At 42.4% G+C, this 17,043-nt stretch overlaps 1 protein-coding gene across 7 annotated transcripts in view, besides 1 other annotated feature; it reads right to left on the reverse strand.

Moving 5' to 3' along the window:
• The window catches only part of ENTREP2 (endosomal transmembrane epsin interactor 2), a 557,698-nt gene that overhangs the window by 400,252 nt on the left and 140,403 nt on the right, over positions 1-17,043 (reverse strand). The window lies entirely within an intron of this gene.
• Positions 15,762-16,056: a silencer, noted in NCBI's record as "tiled region #8593; HepG2 Repressive non-DNase unmatched - State 24:Quies". NCBI's record gives its function as "represses a minimal TATA promoter and a strong SV40 promoter by Sharpr-MPRA in HepG2 cells {active_cell/tissue: HepG2}" and the evidence as "EXISTENCE:reporter gene assay evidence [ECO:0000049][PMID:27701403]".

Raw genomic sequence — 17,043 nt, forward strand, 5'->3', positions numbered from 1 at the left:
CGGTGGTTCATGTTTGTAATTCTAACATTTTGGGAGGCTGAGGCAGGAGGATGGGTTGAAGCCAGGAGTTTAAGACCAGCCTGGGCAACACAGCAAGACCCTATCTAATTAGGCATAGTGGCACATGCCTGTAGCAGGGAGACAGAGGAAATGGGTAACTTGAGCCCAGGAGTTGGAGGCTACAGCGAGCTATGATTGCTACACTCCAGCCTGGGTGAAAGAGTGAGACCTAGTCTCAAAACAAAACAAAACAAAACAAAACAAAAAAACTACTCTCTTAGCATATTTCAAGTCCACAACACAGCATTCTCAACTATAGTAACCATGCCGTACGTTAGATCTTCAGAACTCATTCCTCCTGCATAACTGATACTTAGTATTTTTATTCTTTCTACTTTTCTGTATTGCTGGAATGTTTTATAGCAGGTATTCATAAATTTTCACAACAAATGTTCAGTTAATGACATTTCTAAAAAAACAAATAAAAAAGAAAATACCAATAAATGCACCTCCTATAGAAACACAAGGAAAAGGAGGCGTGCCATGGACATGAGGAGGGAGAACACACCTCTACATCTGTAGGACCCAGGACAGTCCTTCTGGACCCGCAACCCAGAGGACTGCAGGCAGGCAGCACCTCCCTGAATCCAGGGTAGACAGCCGGGAAGGGCAGGAGGAAGGCCACAGGCATGGAGCCAGATGAGGTCAACAGGAATGCCATGGAGACAACAGCTATAACCACAGGGGGAAACCCACGCTGAAGGAAGTAAAAATCAGAACCTACACCCTGGAAAACCAAACTAGTGACACAGGGGAAAGCTTCAGAAATTCTCCCAGAATGTCAAAATGAAAAAGACCACCACCTGACAAAGCCTCTTATGGCAAGAACAGAGAGGAAGGTCACAGATGACAAGGACAACAGAGATCAAGGGCGTTTCAAGAGGAACTGCTAACTCTTTTCCAAAGAAAGGTGTGCACTACTGCGACACAAAAGCAGACCCTTGCTCTATGGAAGAAAATCCCTCTCCACCAGTGAGTACTTCAGAGACTGCCTGAAATGCTCCCCAAGCTGTTCTCAGTAAAAGCACCAAGTCCTCTTACCAAGTCAGGAAAACAAGCCTGCATATTTATTTGGAGCACTACATTTCTTGGTATTCTAAAATAATATACACCTCTTTCTCTCTCTCTCTCTCTCTCACACACACACACACACATACACACACAGAGTAGATAAAAAGTCCCCTTTAAGCTAAAGTTGGGAGCTCAAGTACAACTTCAGGATTATCAATAAATATACAGCTGACCTTGGAACAGCACAGGTTTGAACTGGGCGAGTCCACTTATATGTGGATTTTTTTCCATCAAAGTTACACTGAGTGTGCCTGCCTCTCCTGCTGCCCCTCCTACTTCCTCTGCCTCTTCCTCCTCTGCCACCCCGAGATAGCAAGACCAAGCCCTCCTCTTCCTTTTCTACTCAGCCCACTCAATATGAAGACTACAACAAAGATGAAGACCTTTATGATGACCCACCTCCACTTATAAATAGTAAATATATTTTCTCTTCCTTATGATTTTCCTATTAACATTTCTTTTCTCTGGCTTACTTTATTGCAAAAATACAGTATATAATGCATGTAACCTACATAATGTGTTAATTGACCGTGTTTATTAGTAAGGCTTCCAGTCAACAGTAGGCTATTAGTAGTTAAGTTTGGGGGAAGTCAAAAGTTATACATGGATTTCTGACTGTGAGGGAGGTTGGGTCCCATCAGGGCTCTGAGCCCAGGCTAAGCCATCATATGCCCTGTGACCTGCAGTATACATCCAGATGGCCTGAAGCAACTGAAGAACCACCAAAGAAGTGAAAATAGGCAGTTCCTGCCTTAATTGATGACATTCCACCATTGTGATTTGTTCCTGCCCCACCCCAACTAATCAATCGACCTAGTGACATTCCTCCCCTGGACAATGAGTCTCAAAATCTACCCACCCTGCACCTTGTGACCCCCGCCCCTGCCTGTAAGAGATAACCACCTTTAACTGTAATTTTCCACTACCTACCCAAATCCTGTAAAACTGCCCCACTCAGCCCACTTGCATTCAAGTAAAATAAACAGCCTTGTTGCTCACACAAAGCCTGTTGGTGGACTCTCTTCACATGGATGCGCATGACGGGTCCCCTAACCCCTGCACTCTTTGAAGGGCCAAATGTGCATTATGTGACATGGATAAAAATTAATGTTTTTCTAAATGGCAAAGTCTACAACCTACAAATTGAAGAATAGTTCTAGCTTCATCTGAAGTGTTATTGAAGAACAAAAATAATATTCTCCATAAATATAGCAGGCAGATATACATTTTTAAAAGTCTCAACTAAAGCTGACCAATGCAAACAATTATTTATTTAGGTGATCAAATAGCAAACTGACTGTCAGAGACCCATTCAACCTGTGATATGTGACCTATGAATTCACTTTCTACCTTCATGCTTCCAAAATTATCTAGATTACTCACTATCAATATTTTTCACCAAGAAACAATGGAATCCTGAGTCTGGTCACCTGACCCTATATTAAATTGTACCCATCAATTCTACAAAACACTGCCCATGTTTCCTATAAAAAAAAAAAATTAGAAGAATAAAAGAGTAATCCACATACAATGTAAAGCTAAAAAACTGCATTGGAATAAAAAACAAAATTGAAGTATTTTATGAAAACCTACAAGAACTAATAAGTGAGTTTAGGTTAGCAGGGCTGCAGAATACAAGAGCAATATACAAGATGCAACTGTATTTCTATACACTAGTAGTAAGTAATCAGAAAGTTAAATTTAAAAACAATACCATTTACAATAGCATCAAAGTCTGTAAAATAAATAGGAAGAAATCTGACAAAAGATAAGTAACTCCTGTACACTGTAAACTACAAACTACTGTAGAGAAAGATTAAAGACCAAATAATTGGGAAGATATAATGTATTCATAGGGCAGAGGACTCAATATTATTATGACATCAACTCTCCCCAAGTTGATCTGTAGAAGTGCTTTTCAACCACGGGTGATTTTGTCACTCCGGGAGATATTTGGTAATGTCTGGAGGCACTGTTGGTTGTCCCTACTTGGTGGCAGAAGGTACTGTTGCCATCTAATGAGTAAAGGATGGGATGCTGCTACCCACCCCACAATGCAGAAGACAGCCCCACAACAAAGAATTATCCAGCCCAAAATGTCAACACTCCCAGTGCCGAGGTGGAAAAATCCTGATGTACAGAGTTAGTGTAATTCCAATCAACATCCCAGCAGGCTTTGTTCTAAAACTGACAAACTAATTCTAAAATTCGCACAGAAATTCAAAGGATATAGCATAGCCGCAACAACTTTGAAGAAGAGGAACAAAGAGAATTAACATAACCTTTCAAGAGGTTTCAAGAATTAAGTCAAAGTATGTTAACAGACAATTCTCCATGAACTTCTGCATATGTGGTTTTTCTAAACAAGCAGCACTGTAAAAATAAGGATAGAGGATTTGAATGCCTTGAAAGCTAGAAGTAGTATAACGCCCAGGAGAGATTTAGAGACATATCTGTCTTGCAACCATTTGCTACCTTTCAGTAAAATAAAACTAGGGAACTTTCCTCCTCTCCCCAGAGAGGATTTGTTTAGATTGCAGAGTAAGAGTCTCTCCCTCTTTGTCTCTGGGGCAGAAAAAGGGCAAAGTTATTAGACACCCTATAGCAATTCAGGGGCCTCTCCTGAACAGCACTGCACGCACAGGGGAGTAAGTGGCACTGACCACACTGTCCCTTGGGGAATTGACACTAGTTGGCACTGTGAATATAAAATATTTCCTCTGATCCAGAGACATTGTTCCTCATCAGAATATATACATACACTTAAACACACACACACACACATTTTTAAAACACATTAATTAAGACAGTGTGGTGTTGGCATCAAGACAGACAAGTAGACCAATACAGTATAATCTCTACTGCAGAAATAGATCCACACATATACAGAAAAAAATCTTTGATAGAGGTGCAAAAGCAATTCTGCGAGGAAAGGATAGTCTTTTCAACAAATGGTGCTGGAAAAACTGGATATCCATCTGGGGAAAAGATGAAATAAACCTCAATCCATATCTCATACCACATAAAGGAGTTAGTTTCAAATGAATCACAGACATAAATGTAAAACATGAAACTATAAAATCTGTAAAGGAAAGAATGGAAACAAATCTTTATAACTCTGGATTAGGCAAAGATTTATTACATATGACAACAAAATTTTAAATGTGGCATCTTCAAAACACACTGTAAAGGGAATGAAAATACAAGACACATTCCAGGAGAAGATATTTACAAAGCATATAGCTGATACAGGTCTTGTACCTAGAACATAAAAAGAATCCTCAAACTTTAATAAAAATGATGTCAACAAAAATGCCAGAGTTGAAGACCAATGAAAATTCTCTCTTCCATAAAATCAATGAGAAAACTGGCAGAAAGTGTCAGAATCAACTTTTTCAGAACCCTAAAAATTAAAAACAGATTGCAGCAATCTGATGAGTGCTTCCTCAAGAAAAATGTCTGAATCTCGGTAAGAACAGGTGAGCTTTGTGGCACATTAGCTTGGTGCTATTCCCTTCCCACCTACCCGTCTCGGCAGGAGCCTTGCAAACCAATAGCCCACAATCACAGTGCATGTGAGAACCCTGGCAAAACATGGCTGGAGCTCCTTCAAATTCTCATTCCCAGAGAACTGACATGAAATGACCTGTCTGATGTTTCTCTAGAAGAAACCACCTAGAAGGCTGTTTTTATTTGACCTGACTCAGACCTTGCTCAGTGTGACATGTCTTTAGCCTCGGGGCATTTGCTGAAAACAGTTGAAGGTGATCATTAACCACAACAGCTGCTAGAGGTGGTGGTTAACAAAAAGGCAAAAAGAGGCTAACCAAAAAGCTTAAAGGAAAAAGCCATGGAATGAAACGTCTGTAGGTCCTTTGAAAAACTCCAATAAAGTGCTGAAAATTAAAAGGCCACATGCACACAGGCTGTGTACATGCCAAGCACTGTGTTCATGCTCAGGAAAGGCCTGGGAAGGCCCTAAGCTCTCATCTCCGACTGACCTTGAGGCTTTGCACAAGCAGGAAGGGAAGACGAAGGTAGGGCTGTCAACTGCCTGCCTGGCTGAGTAGTAAAGTAACATTTGCAGATGACTTCCTTAGAAAATCTTAAGGAATCCACAAAAATACTGTTAGAGGTAATAAATGAGTTCAGCAAGGTTTCAGGGTACAAAAATCAATACACAGAAATCTGAGATTCCTGTACATGTGCAATAAACAATCAAAAACTAAAGTGAAGAAAACAATTCCATTTATAACAGCATAAAAAATACAATACTTAGGAATAAACTTAACAAAAGAGATATAACTTGTACACTAAAAACTAGAAAAGATCATTGAAATGAATTGAAGAAAGCTTAAAGAAAAGACATCCCATGCTTCTGAGCTGGAAGACAATATTGTTTGGATGGCAATATTCTCCAAAATGTTCTACAAATTCAACACAACCCTTATAAAAATCCCAGCTAGATTTTTTTTTTTTTTTTTTTTTTTTTTTTTGCAAAAATGGACAAGTTGATCCTGTAATTCATACGGAAATGCTTGGATCCAGAATAGCCAAAACAATCTTGGGAAATCAAAGTTGGAAGATTCACATTTCCTGATTTCAAAACTTACTACAAAGCTACTGTAATAAGCCCATACATTTATAGTCAATTGATTTTCAACAAGAGTGTCAAGTCAGTATAATGCAAAAGGAACAGTCTTTTCAACAAATGGTGCTGGGACAACTAGATAGCCACATGTGAAAGAATAAAATTGAACCCTTGTCTCATATCATATACAAAATTTAAGTCAAAATTGATCAAAGACCTAAATATAAGAGGTAAAACTATGAAACTCTTAGAAAAAGATATAGATGTAAATTTTCATGATGTTGGATTAGGCAATGTTTTCTTAGCTATGATACCAGAAGAACAAGCAAACAAAAAAATAGATGGGATATCATCAAAATTACAAATTTTGTGCTTCAATGGACACCATCAAGAAAGAAAGACAATCTACAAACTGGAAGAAAAAAATTGTAAATCATATGTCTGTACAGGTCTAGTATCCAAAATACATAAATAACTGTTACAACTCAATAATAAAAAGACAACTCAATTGGAAAATGAGCCAAGGATTTGCATAGACATTTCTCCAAAAAGAGATTTGAAGGACCAATAAGCACATGAAAAGATGCTCAACATCTCTAGTCAGGAGGGAAAAGCACATCAAAACCACAGCAAGAAAGCACATCACAATCACAAGGATGGCTGTAATAAAAAAAACTAGAAAATACATGTGTTGGTGAGGATGTGAAGTAGAACCCCCACACATTGTTGGTAATGTTACGGGCAGGTCTTTGTTCTTAGAGCTCCCAAGATGTGGCAGACCACTCCCAAGATGGCAGCAAGCCTTTTGTTCTCTGACCTGGGGTTCTTGGCCTTATGGATTCCAGAGTTTTATAGCTCTATTAGAAGCCGTAGGTCACGGAAGAGAACCATGGAACCCAGCGACTAGTGTTCAGCTCGATTAGGATGAACCTGGGCACTCAGCCGTGCAGGAACAATGGCGAGCCTTTAGCCCAGTCGGAAGCAGCAATGGGCGCCTCGCTGGATCAGGAGCACAGCAGACACCCTGCCAGATCTAGAGGGGTGTCAGTCAGTGGCAGGTCTGCAATGGCAGCCAACAGCAGTGGTGGACAGCGAGCGAAAGCTCAGCTCAAGCCATAACAAACATGGACCAGAAGAGTGTGCAGTTGCAAGATTTAATAGAGTGAAAATAGAGCTCCCATACAAGGGAGGGGACCCAAAGGGGGTTGCCCACTCCCGGCTCGAATGCCTGGGTTTATATCCCGATCATTGTCCCTCCCCCTGTGCTCTCAGGCGATATATGATTTCACTATTTCTTTACCTCTTGCTTTAGCCTAGTTTGTATTTTAGTGAGCCCTCTTTACTACCTGATTGGTTGGGTGTGAGCTGAGTTACAAGCCCCGTGTTTAAAGGCAGGTGTGATCACCTTTCCCAGCTAGGCTTAGGAATTCTTAGTCGGCCTAGGAAATCCAGCTAGTCCTGTCTTTCAGTAAGAATGTAAAATGAAGACACTTTAGAAAACAATTTGGCAGTTCCTCAAATGGTTAAATCCATAGTTACATATGACCCAGTAATTCTATTCCTAGGTACATACCCAAGAACTGAAAACATGTGTTCACTCCAAAACTTGTACAGGAATGTTCACAGCAGCATCACGCATAACAACCAATGTCCATCATGCGATGCATGGATAAACAATGGAATATACAACTGTTTACTGGAATACTATTCAGCCATAAAATGAAATAAAGTATTATTAGATGCTCACAAAATAGACGAACCTCAAAAACATTTTGCTAAATGTTAAGAAAATAGACCACTACCAAAATTCTTTCAAGAGGTAAATGAGTAACAAACTGTGGTGTAGCCACCCACTGGGATACTACCAGGCAATTAAAGGGGCTAAACTAGGCACATGAAACAACATGGATGAATCTCAAAGGCTTTATGCTGAGTGAAAAAGGCCAGTCTCAAAAGGTTATATGCGGTATAATTCCATTCACATAATATTCCGCAAAAGACAAAACTATAGTATGGAGAACTGGTCAGTAGTTGGTGGCTGGCATGGGTTTGAGAGGGGTATCACAAGATGAAGCCATTTTACAAGGTAATGAAACTGGTCTCTAACCTGATTTTGGTGATGGTAACAGGAATGGATACATGTATTACAATTCTCAGAACTGTATACCCAGAAAACAAAAATAAAAACCTAACCACAAACAGAAAGTAAAAACACAGAAATAAGGCCCTCCTTTCCTGACATGCACATTCTTTAGTAACTACGAAAGTAATTTCTTCAACTTCAAAAAGCACAAGTTTAACTGATTTATTTCAAGAATGAGCTAATCAATTCTGTATTTATTAAATGCAAATGTTTCCAATGGGTAGATTTAATATGCTATGGCAGGAGAAAGGTACATTCTATACCCTGAAGTACAAGAATTGATTGTGCAAGCTTGGATGCAAAAAGTAAAATTAAAATTCCATGTACGTGATATAGTGCTACACCTGGCAAAAAGCTTTTCTGTAGAGTGAACTGAAAGGCACTTGCAAACAACTCAATCATCTGGTTAAAAAAGAAAAGAAAAAATAGGATCACAACTCTCTCTTGTTACAGGGAAAGTGTCCATCTTCCAAAAACCAAGGCTCCCCTCACGCTTCTCAAAGATGGTGTCCCTCTTGGACAGCCTCTGACTCTCCACATCATTCCCTCTTTCCTCCAACCCCCACTGATAAATTCCCACCTTAGAGGCAAGCCACAGCCCACAGACTGCTACTTCTTAATCTCCCCCTGTACAGAGTATTTTCTTTTTTTCAGAGACAGGGTTTCATTCCATCACCCAGGCTAGGGTGCAATAGCGTGATCATAGCTCACTGCAGCCTCAAACTCCTGGGTTCAAGCAATCCTCCCACCTCAGCCTCCTGAGTAACAGACTATAGGCACATGTCACCACACCTGGCTACTATAAAAAAATTTTTTTTTTTTTAAAGATGGTGTCTTAACGATATTGCCCAGGCTGGTCTCAAACTCCTGGGCCATAGCAATCCTCCCGCCTCAGCCTCCCAAAGTGCTGGGATTACAGGTCTGAGCCACTGTGCCCAGCCTGGAAAGGATCATGTTTGCCCCATACCTTCCCATCTTTCCAGTCGTGCCAACCTAACACCCCCAGAGAACCATGTCTGCCTCCACACTCCCACTCTCCCTTCCATCACTCCCATCTGGCCTCCTCACTGATTTTCCACAAAACCTGTCCTCAAATGGTCACTAACGATCTCCATGCTGTGGAATCCGGGGGGCACGTGTTTGTCCATTTGCTCAGCTTCTCAGTTGTCACCAACCCATTTGGCCACACTTTCCTTCTGCTGATATTTTCTGCTTTCAACATCCTTGAAACCACACCCTCCTGCTTTTCCCCCAGATCTGGCCACACTTTCTTGGTTTCCTGTGGCAGCTCAGCCTGCTCTCCTGAGCTTCTAAATACTGAGGAAATTCCTCATGGCCAGGCCATGCCCCCGTTTCTCCACACTCTTCAATTTGTTGCCTGCCTGCATCCAATGCCATCCGTATGCACCTGCTCGCTCTGTTTCATCGGCCCAACCTTTGCTGGGTTTCAGGACATTTTCTAATTAGTCTGTGAGATCTAAGTAGATGTCCCATTAAAAAGGGGGTTCCATGGGAAAATACCTTTGAGAAACACTGCTTCACATGATGCCCCCCAGCCACCCCACGATCAGCTGATGAGTCTTTAGGAAAACAAATCTGTCTAAAACATTCCTAGAAAAATAATCCCAACAATCAATAGTTTGTGTCCCTGTTGTAGGCTCAGGTATTTCACAAAATCCTTCTCATCTTCCCCACTGAAATTTAGTCTCGTGTGAAATGAAACACAGAATTTACTACTTTACTCCTAGGTAATTCCCAAGATCACCTGCCTCACTTCCTCCCCAGGGCACAAAATCAGAGATGTGCCAACAGAAGGCATCCACTGCAGACCCTGTAATCTTGCCACCACCATTCTTCATGAGCCATGGAGAAGCTTATAGAAGCTGGACTCCTCTCCCCAGAAAAATAAACACACACACAACACACAAGGATCTGTATGTAATCTCAAGGTCTCACCCCAGGAAATTCACCCCAGGGTCCATGAATTCAAAGTAAGCCCCCCTCAGTAAGGATGCTTCAGCGGACCCCTCTGATTCACAGGGGTCTCCATTCTCACGGGCTTGCTGGTTTCGCTGCTAAGATTATGACAAACTAGGGCTGATGAGACCTTGCTTCACTCCAGCAACACACCAGTGCACCATAACTGAGGCCTCTCTGCACACATCCGCCCTGCAGACACCGTGCATTCATCCATTTGGCAAACACTCACTGAGCTCCCCTACCTTCCAGGTGCTGTGCTAGGTGAAGGTGACAAACTCCATGATCCTTGCCCTGGGGAGCAGACCTCCTGGTGAACAGACGCAAACAATAAGCACAACAAATGACAGGTTGTGATGGCATTATACCAAAATTCAAGGGGTCATCTGACGGGGTCAGATCCTTGATATTGGGTGGTCCGTAGTATCATGTGACAGCATCTGAGATTGCATTCCATAAAAATCCCATCAAGATTTGTAAAACCTCAAAGTCCTTCAAAATAAGAAGATACAGTCTCAATGTTAAAGGCTGACCAAAAAAAAAAAAAAATAGGATGAGTTGGAAGAGAAGCTGCATGTCCTTCCAAACTAATGAAGTGATGCTCCTCCTCTTGGCTCCCCACTCCCAGTAGAAATCCAGCCGCTAGTACCCAAGTGAGAGTGACACATTCCTGCCTAGCAAGCCTACAGTACAGACCATCTGGTCCACTGGCCTTGTGCCCACTTGAAAGATAACAAGCCAGTTTCCAATGATAAAGGAACCCAAAAATAAAGATGTAAAAACAGAGCCCCTGAAATGAGTCAAATGATACTTCCTCACCAAACACATCTTCTGATAGCAAATCAAGTCCAAAGGTCTCATTACAAAGAACTGTAATTCTAGATAGTAGGATTAGCTCCACCATGAAATCTATATGCCAACGCTCTTTCGTAATTCACTTAAAGGCCCACTCACAGGTAATTCACTTAATTTCAGATCTCTGCACTTGAAAATCACATTTTTTGTGTTTCAAATGGAACTGTCTAAACTCCATCCATCGCAGAACAGTTATATAGATTATGTTCATAAAATTTTGTATATACAACCATTAAAAATAACTGGGTAAAACTATGTTACTCAAGTGATATGTATTGTTTTATCTGCGTAAAACTCTATTCTTCTTGTAAATTCTCCTTTGTCCCATGTGATTGTACTTGAAACTTCCAATTATACTCTTTCTAGCCCCTCCCCAGCCACTGTGGCTAGTCCAGAGATAGGACCATGACATGAAACCAGCCTATTTGAGTCTTCCCTGGGATTCTCCAACCTGCAAAACAAAAGCCTCTTGCATGTCCGGTCAAGGAGCTGTGGGCACATAAGCTCCCAAGAGCTGCAAGTGGCAGAGGGTCCACATAAAGGTGGGGTTGTGAGGGCGTGGAGGGGTGTGTGAGGGTGTGGAGGGGTGTGTGAGGGTGTGGAGGGGTGTGTGGTAGCTAATCCAGTAAAGGCACAGGAAGGCTACGCCTCACTCAGTTTCTGAGTATCTTCTCTATGAAGTCAAAAGAAGTTTGAGGATGATTGGTGCCATTGGTGAGGCAGGTTAAGCATGGTTAGGACTGGCTAGTTTGAAGAATCCAGCAGCCTCTGGGCTGGAGGGGCTGTCATGAGTTGTCTGGTACCTGGCTCTGAGGTGTTTAGGGCTGGTGGACCGTGGCCTAGAAGGTGAGAGCCAGAAGAAGTGCTGGGGAACTGGGCTCTAGGCTGGCTGGTTTGCATTCTGAAAGGCTCACTCACAGGTGAGCCATTACCACCTGCAGGAATCAGCTAGCCTGGGAGGGACAGTCCCTCCAGCATCAGCAAGGCCCCAGATGCCAGAGCACCCAAATATACAGAATAAAAGGGCACAATGAACACACACCAAAACCTTGTCTCACAGAGAATGACACCTAGAGTGGCTGATTGACTTGACCAAGCTCAAATGAGCTAATAAAATTTCTACCTTAGGGTTTACACAGCACTTACAAACTACCTCATTTTAGATATAGCAAAAACTCTAAAACATCACAGGTTTATGGCCATTCTGAATCTCAGGAAAACCGAAGGTCAGAGAAGTTAAGCGGTGTTTCTTTAGTCATCTGACTAAAGACAAACAGAGCTAAAATGAAGCTACATCTTCTTGTCTAGCCTTTTGCATGGATTCTTCACCACACGGCCTCTGCAGACCTCAGGCCCCACCTAAAGCTCCATTCTGATGGATGAAGCCCAGGGCCCCTCGTGCTTATAAGTCTTGGTTGGGGTGGTCTTTCCCGCTCACATCTCCCATGCTCGGATGTACGGAAGGCGCCTAGGTGGGGAGGGGACGCTCCAGAAAATGCAAAGCTCTTCCGAACAAGGCTTTAGTATCCACCTGCAGCTGCCTTCTCACCCTAGGGAACTGGACTGAACAACTTAGTGCTCCCTGAGCCTCGCCCAGAGCAATGGTTCTCTGGGAATCTGTGCGGGTGCTGGGTTGTCATAATGGCTGTGTAGTTCCTGACCTATGGGGAAAAGTGGCCAGGGATGGTAGCCATCCATCTATGCAAGGAGTGTTAACCTTTACGTGTTAATGTAGGTGAAACACCAACTTATAATAATCACAACCTAAAACTTGCTTCCACTTTTAACCTCCAGGAGTTTTCTCATTGTTTTTATATACACTAAGGTGCCCGGCACTGCAACTACCAGATCGATCAAGCGAACTCCAACGTGTCTGGAACTCTACCAAGAGCGGTTCACCACTTTGGAAAATCATGTCCCCATTGACAAGGACACTCCAGTGCAACATCCTGTCCTGCTGTGCGGCTGCCGTCATGTCTGTGGTGATGGGTGGAGGTGCAAGCACCCAGTCGTTCCCTGTGTCTCCCAGTGGTCAACATGCCTAAGCACAGAAACATACATTATTTTCAGTGAAAATTACATTTAGGGCTTTGTAATGCTTTTTGGAATCGTAAGTGAGAATACGGTGCACTTTCTATGACTTCCATTTGGGGATATAGCAAAAACATCATGACAAAGGGCTGTGGATCTGACAGAGTTCCAACCACAGGCCCAGAGCAGACTCTGGCCAGACACCTCCTGTAGCCTTTCCTTTGAGCCCTGTCCTTGATCTCGATCCAGTTAGCATTTCAAGGTTCAAATGCAGACCCATCCCAAAACGGTGCCGCACCCAAGTCTGGGACCAATGACGGAGAGAAGAGGGAGGCACCTGCCTGCATTCTTCCCCTCAGTGGCTCTGGCCACACATGGAGTCGTGGGCTCCCCTGTGCACTGTTCTCAGCCTCAGGTAGGCTGTGTTCTACCTTCCCCCCAGTTTTCTTCTTACCTACGAGGGCTCTTGATTTCTCCTGACTTTGCAAATCCTTTATGCGTGACAGTCTCGCCTTGAGAAGACAGGGAGGTAGGGGACGGGAAGCCAGCAATTTTACCCACTACTGATTCATTCAAGAAACACAAATCTGAATGCCTACTATTCATTTTACCAGGGCTCTTTGCAGACACGCCAGACTTTCAAACTAGCCATCATCATTTAACATCTTTCAGGATTTCACATTAGAAGCTTTTGGTAACTGAAAGTGGACTGGTGTGGGGGAGGGCCAGGTCCCACTCTGACAAGGGCCTAGAAGACAGGCCAACTCCTGTCTGAGGTCTGAAACTGGGCAGAACATGAAGGGCAGCCCTGGGGAGGGCCAACCATGGGGACGGAAGGCAAAAGGCTGTGGGAAACCCATTTTTAAATTTTTTAATTCATTTTTAATTGACAAATAAAAATTGTACATATTTATTGTACAATTTGTACAACTGCACGTACTTCAACATGTTGTTTGAAATATGTAAACATTATGGAAAGCAAAATTGTTTCTGAGGCAGGGTCTCACTCTGTCACCTAGACTGCAGCGCAGTGGCGCAATCTCGGCTCACTGCAACCTCTGCCTCCCAGGTTCAAGCGATTCTCCTGCCTCAGCCTGGGGAGAAGCTGGGACTAAAGGCACCCACCACCACGCCTGGCTAATTTTTGTATTTTTAGTAGAGATGGGGTTTCACTATGTTGGCCAGGCTGGTCTCAAACCCCTGACCTCAGGTGATCCACCTGCCCCTACTTCCCAAAGGGCTAGGATTACAGGCGTGAGCCACCGCACCCAGCTTGAAAGGCTAAACTGAGCTAATTAGCATATGCATTACTTTGCATCCTTATTTTTTGTAGTAAGATCACTTAAAATCTACTCAGCAATTTTCAAGAAGACAATGCTATTAACTATAGTCACCATGTTGTACAAGAGATCTCTTTAACTTCCTCCTCCTATCGAACTGAAATTTTGTATACCTCAGATTCTAATTTTTACCCTATATTACACAGAGCAATTTTGAATTTATTTCGCTAAACTGTGACCTAGAGAAAATATTTTATTCAGAAAACATCACTGGTAAACAAACAGCTCAGGAAGTGATCTGTGTTTACTAAAACTTTGAAATATATTTTACACATATTCTGCATTAAAATCTGATTAAAATGTAGTTATACAAAGAGACAGTGTTTTCTGATTTGTAGCATTCATGGCCGAGATACACTATTTAAAAATGCACTTGATTTAGGCATTTATTCAAAATCATAAGCATAAAACATGATCATACCTTCCTACTGGCAGACACAAAACTGGTGCATCCCACACACTTGTTTGAGTAATTACAACACCAGCTGTTCTAGCACCTACCAAGAGAAGCTGCAACTCAGACTGACTCCTGGTCACTGATGTGCCAAACAGCATCATCTTCTAACCAAAAATGAAAATCTCACTTTGATAAATGGGTTGTCCAAGTTAAATTAGCTAAACCAATGCTTAAGTCTAAGTTCCAATTTTTAAAACTTTCTGTATATGCTATACTAGCAAATGTGGATTTATCTGATTTTAACACAAAAAGGAGAGACTGCCAATAGAATTGATTTCTGCTAGATTTTAAAATCTACAAAACCTGAGATCTCCCCAAGAATTAAAGGCAATTCTCAGGTTGAAATATTTATGAAACATACAAATTTCAATGGCATTTCACAGAAAATAAATATAAAGCATTAAATAGCAAGACAAAGATTACAGCCAAGACTCTCAACTATCCAACTGAAACTCACTTCCATATTTACCACCCAAAGACAGCAGACCCTCCATGTGCTGGAGCCTCTACAGGAGGAAGGGGAAATGGCCATGTGCTCAGTGTGTGTTCCAATCCAGGGATTGTACACAGGCTACTTTATTCAATTTTCTCTGACTCTGGATTTCCCACAGGATAGGCTTCGTAGCAGCACTCTACAGTTGGGGAAACTGAGGCCTGGCAACTCCCCTAAAGGCTGCCCAGCCAGGAAGCACCCGCCCAGCAGGTCTGACGAGGCCTCCATTCTCTTGCAGTGCGCTATGTCTATCCACTCCAAAAGCCACAGCACACACAACTTCAACTCTCCAGAAAATGTCCAGTCACCCTGTCTATATTTTTCTTGTTTCATAAAAATTACGCATTTTGGTTGGAGTAGACTTATGACCAGAAAGAGGCTCTCTGCAAAGCAGATGCTGCACTTGCAATGGTGGGATGAAGGGGGATGGAATGCAATAGCTTGAAAAGTGACCGGGACACAGCAGCTGGACTAGACTCGGGGATAAGAAATACCTCTCTATTTTTCCCCAAAGTTAAATATTTCTAAGCTTCCACCTGTTCACCTGGTGAGAAATAGCATTTCTTCATGGAGTACAAGAGTCTTAAGTGGTATATGCAACCCAGAAAATTTGGCAAACGGTCCATGATGATCACCATTGAGCTCCCTGCCCATAAGGTCCATTGTAGAGGCCCTGACCCTGGAAAGTGTTCTGTCTGCAGACATCTGTGGCCATCCTCACCTTGGAATTTCCCCTTCTTAGACGAGCCAGTCTGACATCAGTAAAAAACAGAAGTCAGGCATTTCTCCCCTGTAGAAAGGGAACCTCCCATTCTGGCAGACCAAGATTCAACACTCTCTTGGAAAGGAAGAAGGGAAATACCACTCATGCCTGCAATGAGCCAACAGCAGACCCCAGTAGGCCCAAACAATGAGAAACAGGACAGAGTTTGGGTTTGCTTTACATCTATTCCATTGTGAAATGCCAGGGCCCCAGGACTCCCCACGGCTCAGGAACGTATGGAGACGCATTAGGTGGCAATATGTGCTGCTGCCTATAGAAACGATATGTGACCCACAGAAAGAGTGTCATATGTCCAACCTAACACCACACCAGTGGGTCACATCTGCAAGTGCCCCTTGGCCAAAAAAAAAAAAAAAAAAAAAAAAAAAAAAAGAAGGATATGTAGCCTTGCTCTCCTTCCTAATCAGGAGCTCACCGGAACGTGGGAGCCAACCAAACCAAACTGTGGCTCCAGCTTTTACAACCCTAACTACTGGGAATCTATTTTCTCGCTGGAGTGTCTGAGAGGATGGAGAAATACACACTAAAAAGGGTTCCGTGGAGATATTGGATTTAGACTTTATAAATGTGGCTCATGAATTCCAACACCCAAAATGGAAAACTGGGCTTCCAGGATATTATACTGTTTTGTACTTAGCTACTTTATTTATACCCCTCCTGGTTCTGAAGAATATTTAACAGGTTTTATTTCACCATGAAAAAAAGGGTTGCTTTAGCAACAGGGCAAACAAGTATACTTCTTAAATGTCTATAAATGACCCAGATTAGTCTCCAAGTTTGTAAAATACTTAATCTCTTTCAGCAATGAAATGCCAAGATAAGAGTAAATTCCAAAAATTCTTTTGAGGGCATGAGGGCTTACTTATTGTTAAGTAGGAGATGAGCTAAGCCTCTGGTACTCTCGGTCCACAGAGGCACCCTATAAAAACGTGGCAAGCCCAGGGCGAGGCATCATGGAATGGACCCTGAATTCTACCTCAGTGGTGCCAATTCCTGAGACCTTGTTACCACAATGTGGCCAGGCACAAAGTTTTCACTGGCCAAGACAAAAATAAGAATAGTTCCCAGCACAAAAAAAGGCACCAATAAGTATCTGTAGACTGATGGACTGATAAGTGAATGACTGATACTGTATACTTTTCAAAAGTCAAGAGATAATTTATTACATGTGAAGAACAATCCTTAAAAATAAAGCTGGGGCCAGGCATGGTGGCTCACGCCTGTAATCCCAGCATTTTGGG

Source organism: Homo sapiens, chromosome 15 (genome assembly GCF_000001405.40).
Source record: "Homo sapiens chromosome 15, GRCh38.p14 Primary Assembly".
Classification (NCBI taxonomy): Eukaryota; Metazoa; Chordata; class Mammalia; order Primates; family Hominidae; genus Homo; species Homo sapiens.